The sequence below is a fragment of the Homo sapiens genome, chromosome 19 (assembly GCF_000001405.40).
Source record: "Homo sapiens chromosome 19, GRCh38.p14 Primary Assembly".
In the NCBI taxonomy this organism is placed as follows: Eukaryota; Metazoa; Chordata; class Mammalia; order Primates; family Hominidae; genus Homo; species Homo sapiens.
In genome coordinates this window covers 52415063-52427602 of record NC_000019.10, presented here as the reverse complement: position 1 = coordinate 52427602, position 12540 = coordinate 52415063, and the positions used below count along the sequence as shown (strand labels likewise).

Genomic DNA, 12540 nt, shown 5'->3' with positions numbered 1-12540 from the left:
GGACTAAGGTCAGTGTGAAGTCAGGTCACCAACTCTTTTTAAAAAAGCCAATAACTTTAAAAATAGGTATAAATTATTTAGTTTAAGACTTTTTTTTTTTTTTTAAAGACAGGGAATCAACCTGTGACATCCAGGCTGGAGTGCAGTGGCACAATCATAGCTCACTACAACCTTGACTTCCTGGGGTCATGGGCACCTCCTACCTCAGTCTCCCGAGTAGCTGGAAGTACAGGCCTGTGACATTGGACTGTGCTAATTTTTTAGTTTTATATATTATTATTACTTTGTAGAGATGGAGTCTCACTTTGTTGCCCAGCCGGGTGTCCAAGTTCTGGCCTCAAGTTTTCCTTCTGTCTACACTCCCAAAGTACTCAAATTACAGGCATGAGTCACTGTGCACAGGAGGTAAGGACCCCACATCAGGACCTCAGGTAGTTTTGAAACACAAATACGTAAGATCCACAAGCAGGACTATTGGCTAGAGACAGTGGGGTCACCTGAAGAAATTTTCTTTGACCTGAATAGCAACTTCTCACCCAGGTCACTGGGATCCCGGACTATGGCACTGTTCCAGGCAGGCCTGGTTATCCTGCTTGAGGCAGCAATCCTCTTGAGCCTAGTGAAATGCAACTGGCTGTACCTCAGTGATGTCGCGCTGAGATTCTGCCAGTCAAGATATTACTTCAATCTCCTGAGACAAGCCTCTACCTCCAGATCCAGGAAGGTCAGTGCACACATAAATTGACTAGCTTTATTAAAGGGGATACTGGGTTGGTGGGGAGACTGCAAGACAGCACTCAAGTGGGGTTGAACTGGCCCAGTTGCGTCTGACTTCTCACTTGTAGTTCCCAAGAATGAATATAAAATGTGCTAGAAAAGCAACATACTGAGATGAAGGACAGGATCCTGTCCATCCTTACCAGAGAAGGACAGGATCCTGTCCATCCTTACCAGAGAAGGACAGGATCTGTTCCAGTCCCCTCAGAACAGGATGCCCTTCATTGTTTTAGGCCAACGTGCCATGCATCCCTGGAGCATGAAACCTGGGCCAGGCCGCCTTTCAGGCTCCCTCAGCTGTGATGCGGGAGGAACACACACGCAGACTGCATCTGAACTGGGTGGTTTTCCTGAGCCTTCGGGAACAGCATGCATGAACCCCAGGCATCTGCTGTCGTTGCTGCCAATCTGTAACAAATTCACTTCATGTAACTTACTGTGTGTTCATGGGACTATCTCTCACTCAACTCCAACACGTTGGTAACCAGTGTGCAGTGAACCTGCTTCACAAGTAAGGCTGTGAAGAAATTGTAATCTTCATACATTTGGTGGGAATCAAAAATACTGATGAACGCTTAGGCCCGGCTCATGCGGGAGCATAGTTTTGGTTGTGAGGGTTACAAGTTGGGAACAATCCCAGATGTAGAAATATCCCACCATGGGTGAAACTTCCTGAAAGATCCAGAGGTGCTCCAGGTCCAGATGCAGCTGCTGGAAGCCATGTTTGGCCCAGACTGATCTCAAATCCCTTACATCGAGCAGGTGAGCAAGGTCATGCTCGTGCTGAAGGCTCTGGAGTCTTCAGACCTCACCGAGGTTGTCGGTTACGGCTTCTATTTATACAAGTGCCAGACCAAGTGGATGCCCCAGTCCATGGCTGAGTGGCACTGCCAGTGCCAGGAGCGAGGGATGCTCAAACTTGTGGAAAGCATGAATGCCGTCAAACTACGCCCTTGGGTGAAGTGAGCCAGCTTCCAGCCAATGTGAAGAAGGCCAAGATGTAGAGATCAGGTTGTGGCCATAGCTGGAATGGTAACTCCAGATTGGTTTAAACACTGCTCCAGCCTGATGAATTAAAAACAACAACAACAAAAAAAAAAAAAAAAAAAAAAAACGCCGGGTGCAGTGGCTCATGCCTGTAATCCAGCACTTTGGGAGGCTGAGGTGGGTGGATCACCTGAGGTCAGGAGTTTGGGAGCAGCCTGACCAACATGGAGAAACCCCGCCTACTAAAAATAAAAAATTAGCTGGGTGTGGTGGCACATGCCTGTAATCCCAGCTACTTGGGAGGCTGACGCAGGAGAATCGCTTGAACCGGGGAGGCAGAGGTTGCGGTGAGCCAAGACTGCACCATTGCACTCCAGCCTGAGCAACAAGAGCGAGACTCTCTCTCAAAAAAACAAAAAAGAAAAAAAGAAAAGAAAAGAAAAAACCATCTGTCTAGGGGTTTCTGCCCTTGTTCCAAGTCTTGAGAATATCTCTTTTGACAGTTGCCAATAAAAAAAGTAATTTTTCAGAAAAACAAGACTGCAGATGGTATGGAAAACAGTGTCATTGGACACTTCCTCAACTCAAGATCACCCACCAATTTAAAAAGGATCATCATACATTCTGGTGAAAGACATAAAGATTCCCCCAGGGGTAGGGGATGAGGCAAGGAAGTCCACTTTTATCACTACTATTCCACACAGTGTGAAAAGTTCCAGCCAGTGAAATAAAGGAAGAAAAGGAAATAAAAGTGACAGGCTGGATGTGGTATCTGAGGGCTGTAATAGCAGCACTTTCGGAGATTCATGAAGAATCACAGAACTGTGGACCCATATTAGATACATGACCTACAGAATTGTAAAAGAATAGATTTTTGTTCTTTTAAGCCAATCACCGTGTGGTAGCAATGAGGAAGGAGAGTGGCTTGAGGACAGGAGAAAAAAAATAGTGTACTCTCAGAAAATATGATGGTTGCACAGGTCATCCCCGTAACCTGTGTTACTGAATATGTTCTCATATCCTCAACCCTGTAACCTGTGTGACTGGCTGTGGCAAAGAGGAGTTTGCAAATGTGGTCTAGTTAAGGATCTTTAGATAGACATTATCCTGAATTATATGGTCAAAGTGATAGAATCACAAGGTTCAATATCAGAAGGATGCAGGTAGACCCTGAGGGACGGACAGTTGTGATGTGTTGAAAATAGAGGGATAAAGAGATTTTATCTCGCCTGTAAAGATGGAGGAAGTGGGCCGGGTGTGGTGGCTCATGACTGCAATCCCAGTACTTTGGGAGGCCGAGGCGAGCAGATCACGACGTCAAGAGATCAAGACCATCCTGGTTAACACGGTGAAACCCCGTCTCTACTAAAAATAATAAAAATATTAGCCCGGTGTGGTGGCACGCGCCTGTAGTCCCAGCTACTTGTGAGGCTGAGGCAAGAGAATCGCTTGAATCAGGGAGGTGGAAGTTGCGGTGAGCCAAGATCGTGCCACTGCACTCCATCCAGGGACACAAGAGCGAAACTCCATCTCAGAAAAAAGATGGAGGAAGTGGACCATGAGTCAAAGGATGTAAGTGGCCTCTGGAACCTACAAAGGGTAAGGAAAAAAAATTCTTGCCTGGAGATTCATGAAGAATCATAGAACTGTGGACCCATATTAGATATGTGACCTACAGAATTGTAAAAAAATAAATTTTTCTTGTTTTAAGCCAATCACTGTGTGGTAGCAATAAGAATCTGGTGAAATAATTTTATGTAGAAAATTCCAAAAAATCTACAAAAATCTCTAAACAAGGGAAATGTAAAGGTGGCAAGGTATAAGATCAACATACAGCAATCTTTTTTTTTTTTTTTTGAGACGGAGTCTCACTCTGTCGCCCAGGCTGGAGTGCAGTGGCACGATCTCGGCTCACTGCAAGCTCTGCCTCTCAGGCTCATGCCATTCTCCTGCCTCAGCCTCCAGAGTAGCTGGGACTACAGGCGCCCGCCACCACGCCCGGCTAATTTCTTTTTGTATTTATGGTAGAGACGGGGTTTCACCGTGTTAGCCAGGATGGTCGCGAACTCCTGGCCTTGTGATCCACCCGCCTTGGCCTCCCAAAGTGCTGGGATTACAGGCATGAGCCGCCGCGCTGGCCAACATACAGCAATCTTGTATATTTCACTGGCCAGGCATGGCAGCTCATCCCTGTAATCCCAGCACTTTGAAAGGCCAAGGCAGGTGGATTGCTTGAGCTCAGGAGTTTGAGACCAGCATGGGTAACATGGCAAAACCCTGTCTCTACAAAACACGAAAATTAGCTGGCCGTGGTGGCACGCACCTGCAGTCTCAGCTACTCAGGCAGCTGGGGTGGGAGGGTCACTTAAAGCTGCAGGACAGAGGTTCCACTTAGCTGACATCGCTCCACTGCACTATACCTGGGTGACAGAGTAAGACGTTATTTCAAAATAATAATAATAATAATAATAATCTAGCATATTTCTTTACACATGAAAGCTGGTATTAAAAATAAAATACCATGTATGATTGCTCCATTAACAATATCGGTCAGCTGGGCATGGTGGCTCATGCCAGTAATCCCAGCACTTTGGGAGGCCAAGGCGGGCAGGTCACCTGAGGACAGGAGTTCGAGACCAGCCTGGCCAACATGGTGAAACCCCATGTCTACTAAAAATACAAAAATTAGCCTGGAGTGATGGCACGTGCCCGTAATCCCAGCTAATTGGGAGGCTGAGGGAGGAGAATTGCTTGAACTCAGGAGACAGAGGTTGCAGTGAGCCGAGATCACACCACTGTACTCCAGCCTGGGCAACAGAGTGAGACTGTGTCTTAAAAAAAAGTCAAAGAAATACGTGCCAAACAAAACATTCATAGAACCATTATGTTAAAACTACAAAATGTTGATGAAAGAAATCAAAGACACCAAATACAGACACATATACAATATACATTTATTGGAAGACTCCACATAAAACAATATGAAAACAATATGAAATTATACCAAATTGACACATAGGGTTAACACATTTCCTAATCAGGGCATTCTGCAGATACTAACAAGGTTATCCAATTATGTAGAAAGGCAATGAAACAAAAAAAAGCCAAACCCCAAAATCTAAAATAGCTAAAACATCGGAATAACAACAGAAAGACTGGAATCACTTCATGTGATTTTAAGTCTTCTAACATAGTAAAAGCATTCTTTTCCTTTCTCGTATTTACAGGAATCCTAGTTCGTACTTCCCATTGTCTTGTGCGCATACTAATGTCACAACATTTTCTTTCCAAACAACAGCCATATTTATGTAGCCCGTAAATTTTCACTCAAGTAACACATGGAAGAAACGTATTAGACATGGAACCTGGACTGCAATTTATAAAAGATTTTTAATGTAACTCATATAAAGAAGCACAAAGTAAATTTTTTTTGACACAGTGTCTCCCTCTGTCATCCAGGCCGGAGTGCAGTGGTACAATCAAGGACGACAGCAGCCTCAGCCTTCTGGCATCAAACGATCCTCCTGCTGCAGTGCCCCTAAGTAGTTGGGACCACAAGTGTACATGACCACACCCGGCTATTTTTAAAATTTTTTTGTAGACATAAGCTCTTGCTATGTTGCCCAGGCTGGTCTTGAACTTCTGGGCTCAAGTGATTTCTCCCACCTTGGCCTCCCGAAGTGCTGAGATTACAGGTGAGCCACCCCCACTCAGCCTGAAAAAATTGCTTCATACCATAATCTGACAATGACATTTCCACAACTTTTGGCAAAATGCTCTTCTAGCAAAATCATATTTATTGTATAATAAATATAATTATATAATCAATAAACAATAAACAAATCATGTTGATTTTATAATAAACACTTTTGTACAATAATTTTCATTGAACTAGGATAAAACGTATCTCAGGCAACTTTTGTGGGGAAAAGAAAGAGAGATCGGATTGTTTCTGTGTAGAAAGAAGTAGACACAGGAGACTCCATTTTGTTCTGTACTAAGAAAAATTCTTCTGCCTTGAGATGCTGTTAATCTATGACCTTACCCCCAATCCCGTGCTCTCTGAAACATGTGCTGTGTCCACTCAGGGTTAAATGGATTAAGGGCTGTGCAAGATGTGCTTTGTTAAACAGATGCTTGAAGGCAGCATGCTCCTTAAGAGTCATCACCACTCCCTAATCTCAAGTACCCAGGGACACAAACACTGCGGAAGGCCGCAGGGACCTCTGCCTAGGAAAGCCAGGTATTGTCCAAGGTTTCTCCCCATGTGATAGTCTGAAATATGGCCTCGTGGGAAGGGAAAGACCTGACCGTCCCCCAGCCCGACACCCGTAAAGGGTCTGTGCTGAGGAGGATTAGTAAAAGAGGAAGGAATGCCTCTTTGCAGTTGAGACAAGAGGAAGGCATCTGTCTCCCGCCCGTCCCTGGGCAATGGAATGTCTCGGTATAAATCCCGATTGTATATTCCATCTACTGAGATAGGGGAAAACCGCCTTAGGGCTGGAGGTGGCACATGCGGGCAGCAATACTGCTCTGTAAGGCATTGAGATGTTTATGTGTATGCATATCTAAAGCACAGCACTTGATTCTTTACCTTGTCTATGATGCAGAGACCTTTGTTCACGTGTTTACCTGCTGACCTTCTCTCCACTATTATCCTATGACCCTGCCACATCCCCCTCTCTGAGAAACACCCAAAAATGATCAATAAATACTAAGGGAACTCAGAGGCTGGCGGGATCCTCCATATGGTGAACACTGGTCCCCTGGGGCCCCCTTATTTCTTTCTCTATACTTTGTCTCTGTGTCTTTTTCTTTTCCAAGTCTCTCGTTCCACCTAACAAGAAACACCCACAGGTGTGGAGGGGCAACCCACCCCTTCACCTTTACTAGACACTTTACTAAACAGTAATTCACAAGCATTTTCAACAATCATAGGTGCAGTGAAACCTACACGTCCATCCGAGAGGAATGTAACCAGCTATCACCATGAAGAAAACTGGGGTTTTTCCTAACCAAGAAGTCAGGAGTTTCAAGAAGAAGTATTTAGTCTTGTACTAAAGAGTTAGACTACATTTTGTGATGTCTGAATACTAACAGCTTTTACACCTCTGCATTCCTTCTTCCTATGAAAGGAGGTAGTTAACTTGCCTTAGGTAGATAGCAAGAAAAGGGTCTCTGGAGAGTCCCTGGCCCATGGGTCAGTGCCTCATCCCCACCTAACAGAAAAAGCAGCCTGGGAAAAAATTCAAGGTGCAGGGACCGATAAGGGAACTAGCACAAGGTGTTATGCCTACGGCTGCACAGATGGAAAAGGCCCATTTGGATAAAAACTTGCACAGACCTCCATCTCACTCAGATAAGGGAGCAGGCCTGGCACAGAAATGCCTTTTGCCTTTGTAGAGTCAGTGGGCTCCCAGGCAAAAGTTTCTTCTCCCTTTGTGGACATGGGCACAGTGGGCTCCAATAAGTTCAGGTGCTCCAATAAGTTCAGGTTCCTTTATTGGACTGTAAGTCTGGCTTCTATGAATCATCACTTCAGCCCCTAATTGGTCCTGGGCCAAGCTTTCACTTCAGCTTCTAATAGGTCCCGGGCCAAGCTGAGGCATGCATTCTCCAAGACAGCCCGCAGACTAAGCACATTCCTTCCCCTTTCCAGTCCATAAAAACCCCAATACGGACCTCATAGTGAGTACTCCTGTTCAGGAGCCCCTCTCTGCTGGCAGACAGCTTTCTCCTCTTGCTTATTAAACTTTCGCTCCAAACTCACTTTTATGTCCACACTCCTTTTCTTGGAGGTAGGACAAAGAACCCAAAGTGTTATCTCAAATGAGAGACTGTTACATCTTGGTGCATTGCTGAGACTACATTATGATGCCCATCTGGTCAACTGATAATAAAGCCTGAGTGCTCCCTCATTTGGCACCAGGTATTAGTTCAAACCACAAGTAAGTACCCACACCCCAGCCCGACGCTTCAACAATCATAACACCCAAAGTAGTCATCTATCCCAGTTTTCTCATGACATTTTTGGACCAACTGGGGAAGTCTAACCTGCTTTCCTCAGAAAGTCTTATTATGTAATAAACATTCTCAGACCCCTTCAGTACATAGCATCATCAGTCTCAATACCCAAGCCAAATCTTAGGTGGACGTCAAACAAGTTCTAGTGGAGGCCAGGTACATGGCTCATGCCTGTAATCCTAGCACTTTGGGAAGCTGAGGTGGGTGGGTCATTTGAGCCCAAGAGTTGGAGACCAGCTGGGCAACACTGTGACCAAAAAACACCCCAAAATTAGCTGGGTGTGGTGGTGTGCGCCTGTAGTCACAGCTATTCATGAGGCTAAAGTGGGAGGATCACTTGAGCCGGGGAGGTTGAGGCTGCAGTGAGCCCTAACTGTGCCACTGCACTCCAGCCTGTGCAACAAAGACCCTGTCTCAAATTTAAAAAAAAAAAAACTTTTTTTGTAAGGTTCTAGTGGAGTAGGCAAAAGTTCAAATTACCACAAAGGTTGTGGGGGTAAATATGTGAAGTTCCTTGTTAAAATACCAAAGCAAAACACAATTCCATTCTGTGTGTCCACCCTTACGAGGAAATTTATGAACATTAGTAATTTCAAATTATGTCACTGAGCACAAGGACAAAAAAAGAGATTGTGTTACACTATTTTTAACCTTATCCTCACACTTTTATCTCATAATATTTGTCATATTTGTATTTTTGCTTCATAAAAATGAAAGTGTGGGCCAGGCACAGTGGCTCAAGCCTATAATCCCAGCACTTTGGGAGGCCAAGGTGGGTGGATCGCCTGAGGTTGGGTGTTTGAGACCAGCCTGGCCAACATGGTGAAACCCTGTCTCTACTAAAAATACAAAAAAATTAGCCAGGACTGGTGGCAGATGCCTGTAATCTCAGCTACTCGGGAGGCTGAGGCAGAAGAATTGCTCGAACCCAGGAGGTGGAGGTTGCAGTGAGTCAAGATCGCGCCATTGCACTCCAGCCTGGGTGACAGAGCAAGACTCTCAAAAAAAAAAAAAAAAAAAAAAAAAGAGAGAATGTGTGCCATGGGTCTAATTTAGCACACAAGAAAAAGGCACATAGAAATATAATGATACACTAAACATTTGCCAAGGGCTATAAACACATTTGAGGGTATAGGATGCTGGAGTTGCACTGCTTTGGGACTTTCACTGTACCCACAGAAGCATTCTAGGGCAGAGCACAGATACAATAATTCAAGTACTAAGTATGATTACTCATATTCACACTTACCTAAGGATATGTAACCAAAGGACATGTTTCATTTCACAACCAGAAAACTTGCTCTGGATGCTCCAATCTTAAAATCCCAATGGTGCATTACTGTGTGCTACAGAGTATCCATCCTCCTGAGGTGGGATGAAATTATGACGGTAGAAAACACGATTCATTCATACTTAGGAAAAATGAAACTTTATTACTACAAACATGAGAGCTGCATACATTCTAAATCAAATGGTTGCAACTTATAATACCAAGAATTAAATGTGAATCCTACTTAAGAATATGCTGAGCTGGCCAGGTGTGGTGGCTCACGCCTGTAATCCTAGCACTTTCAGGCTGAGGCAGATGGATCGCCTGAGGTCAGGAGTTTGAGACCAGTGTGGCCAACGTGGTGAAACCCCATCTCTACTAAAAATACAAAAATTAGCTGGGTATGGTGGTACACGCCTGTAATCCCAGCTACTTGGGAGGCTGAGGCAGGAGAATTGCTTGAACCCGGGAGGCGGAGGTTGCAGTGAGCCGAGATCGCGCCACCGCACTACAGCCTGGGTGACAAGGGCGAAACTCTGTCTCATCTAAAAAAAGAATATGCTGATCCGGTCATTTTGATTAAACTCTCAACTGTGATATAACTGTTCTCTATTCCATTTCAAAAATGAGGCTGGGCACCATGGTTCATGCCTGTAATCCCAGCACTTTGGGAGGCTGAGGTGAACATATCACTTGAGGTCAGGAGTTGGAGACCTGCCTGGCCAACATGGTAAACACTGTCTCTACTAAAAATACAAAAATGAACTGGGTGTGGTGGCGCACGTCTGTAGTCTCAGCTACTTAGGAGGCTAAGGCAGAAGGACTGCTTGAGCCCAGGAGGCGGAGGGTGCAGTGAGCCAAGAACACACCACTACACTCCAGCCTGGGCAACAGAGTGAGACTCTATCTCCAAAAAAAAAAAAGTCTACTTCTCATCAGTCTTTGCTAAACAGCAGGTACTGCTGTTCAATGGAGAAGGTGGCTACCTTTTTCCTTGCATTATTTCTACCATATAATCAGACACTAGCAACCTATTACTCTCTTCCCACTAATAACCTATGCCTTAAGATTACAGCATACTCTATTTCATGGTCAGTTGGTGGACACTGAAGCTCTGTGCACTTATGTCAGGAGAAAGTGTGCTAACTGCAACAGTATGATGACGGTCATCAGTTTTATGTTACTCTGCCCACCTCCATGCTCTCTAAATCAGACAATATTTAATCTCAAAAGGCAATGTCCTTCATCAGGAAATTGGATAGAAATAATCCTCAGCTAATGAAGTCAGCCCTGTCATCCTACTGATTCTTTCCCAGGGACCACAGTGAATGGCCTGTATGGAAGGCACATGAAAAGATTTCGAAGTCACAAAGAGTAAAGTAGCCTTTTCTATAAGCCCCAAATAATTGAATGCTTTATAGCCTGAATAAAACTGGTCATTTACAAGCCGTTGCACCTTTGATATACATCAGGTCATGAGATTCAACATATTTTGACTTAGCATTATTCTGCATCATGCAATATCATAGATTAGTATCAGAGAACCAGAGACAGAGTTACTTCTTGTGTAAATCCTATCGTGTTCTATAGCAATGGTCCTTGAATAATAGCCCAAGTACACACAATTCATCTGTGTGCTTTCATCCTCCACAGTGATGTGGTGATGTCCAGTGATTTGGCAGGCCTTGATAAAGCCTGTGTCACATACATTTCATTTATATGATTTCCACTTAGTATGGACTCACTGATGTTGATTAATGCTAGAACTCATGATGATGGTTTTGCCATACAGTTTGTAGGGACTCTCATGAATGAACTCTCTGATGCTGTGCAAGGTCAGAATTGTGACTGAAGACCTTACTGCACAGGGTGCATTTGTAAGGTTTCTCTCCAATGTGAATTCTATGGTGATTGGTGAGGGAAGACTTCTGAGTGAAGATCTTGCCACATTCTTTACACTCATGAGATTTCTTTTCAGTATGGATTGCAAGATGGGCAGTAAGGCCTGAACACCCTCGAAATGCTTTGCCACATTTACTACATCTGTAAGGCCTCTCTCCAGTATGAATTATTTGATGTCTTGTAAGGTATGATGCTTGATTAAAGACCTTGCCACATTGATTACATTTGTAAGGCTTTTCTCCTGTATGAATTTTCTGATGGCATACCAGGTTTGAACTGCGACTGAAGACCTTGCCACATCTGTTACATTTGTAAGGCTTCTCTCCAGTATGAATTCTATGATGACTGGTTAGAGAAGACTTGTACCTGAAGACTTTGCCACATTCTTTACATTCATAAGGTTTCTCTCCACTATGGATTAGAAAATGGGCAGTAAGGTCTGAAAACTCTCTAAACGCTGTGCCACATTTATTACATTTGTAAGGCTTCTCATCAGTATGAGTTTTTCGATGTCGTATAAGGTCTGATTTCTGACTAAAGATCTTGCCACACTGACTGCATCCATAAGGTCTCTCTCTAGTATGAATTCTCTGATGAGAGGTCAGGAAACACTTGCGCCCAAAGACCTTGTCACATTCTTTACATTTGTAAGGTTTCCTTCCAGTGTGAATTAACTGATGGGTTATGAGGCTGGAACGCACTGAAAATGCTTTGCCACATTCTTCACATTTGTAAGGTTTCTCACCAGTATGAACCGTTTGATGTTCTGCTAGATATGAATGGCGACTAAAGACCTTGCCACATTTATTACAACTGTAAGGTTTCTCTCCAGTATGAATTTTTTGATGTCGTACAAGGTGTGCAATTTGATTGAAGACCTTGTCACATTCATGACATTTGTAAGGCTTCTCTCCAGTATGAATTCTTTGATGTTGTGCAAGCTTTGAACTGCTTCGAAAGACCTTGTCACATTCATGACATTTGTAAGGCTTCTCTCCAGTATGAATTCTTTGATGTTGTGAAAGGTTTGAATTGCTACTGAAGAGCTTGCCACATTCATGACATTTGTAAGGCTTCTCTCCAGTATGCATTCTTCGATGTATCACAAGCTTTGAACTGCAACTAAAGACCTTGCCACATTCACTGCATTTGTAAGGATTATCTGCGTTATGGATTACTTGGTTAGTAAGGCTTGCAGATGCTCTAAAGACTTGGCCGTGCTCATTACATTTATAAGCTTTTTCCCTAATGTGTGCTTTCTGTTCTTGTGGAAGTAATGGAGCATGATCAAAATTATTTCTATATTTATTTAAAAGGTGGGATTTGACACTGGAAGAAATTTTTTCAAGCGGTGAAACTGAGGAATTGTCACTGACGGGTTTTTCAAAATGCTTACACCCAGAAATTTTCCTTTCAGCTTGAAATAGCTGTAGATCACTCAGATGTAACTGAAAAGTGAATCCAAGTTGATTTTTACAAGGCTTGTTTCCTGCATTACTTCCCAATTTAGAGCTCCTCTCTAAAACAGAAAGAAAAAAGTGGAACTTCAACCCATGATAATGGCATCTTTAGTGTCTGAC

General features: G+C 43.7%; 1 protein-coding gene and 1 pseudogene across 6 annotated transcripts in view, besides 2 other annotated features; one reads left to right on the top strand and one right to left on the bottom strand.

Annotated features, from left to right (window-relative positions):
- Positions 1353-1858, top strand: DPPA5P1 (developmental pluripotency associated 5 pseudogene 1; annotated as a pseudogene).
- Positions 5556-6321: an enhancer, noted in NCBI's record as "NANOG-H3K27ac hESC enhancer chr19:52924535-52925300 (GRCh37/hg19 assembly coordinates)". NCBI's record gives its function as "activates a minimal SCP1, AML or CMV promoter by ChIP-STARR-seq in naive H9 embryonic stem cells {active_cell/tissue: H9 hESC(naive)}" and the evidence as "EXISTENCE:reporter gene assay evidence [ECO:0000049][PMID:30033119]".
- Positions 6322-7087: an enhancer, noted in NCBI's record as "NANOG-H3K27ac hESC enhancer chr19:52923769-52924534 (GRCh37/hg19 assembly coordinates)". NCBI's record gives its function as "activates a minimal SCP1, AML or CMV promoter by ChIP-STARR-seq in naive H9 embryonic stem cells {active_cell/tissue: H9 hESC(naive)}" and the evidence as "EXISTENCE:reporter gene assay evidence [ECO:0000049][PMID:30033119]".
- ZNF528 (zinc finger protein 528) overlaps positions 9202-12540 on the bottom strand; it is a 20553-nt gene continuing 17214 nt past the window's right edge. For all 6 annotated transcript variants that reach the window (NM_032423.3, XM_006723418.3, XM_047439511.1 and 3 more), the window contains one exon: positions 9202-12479. In NM_032423.3, coding sequence (NP_115799.2) covers positions 10864-12479 — 1616 coding nt within the window. In that variant the 3' untranslated portion in view covers positions 9202-10863. The remainder of the gene's footprint in view (positions 12480-12540) is intronic.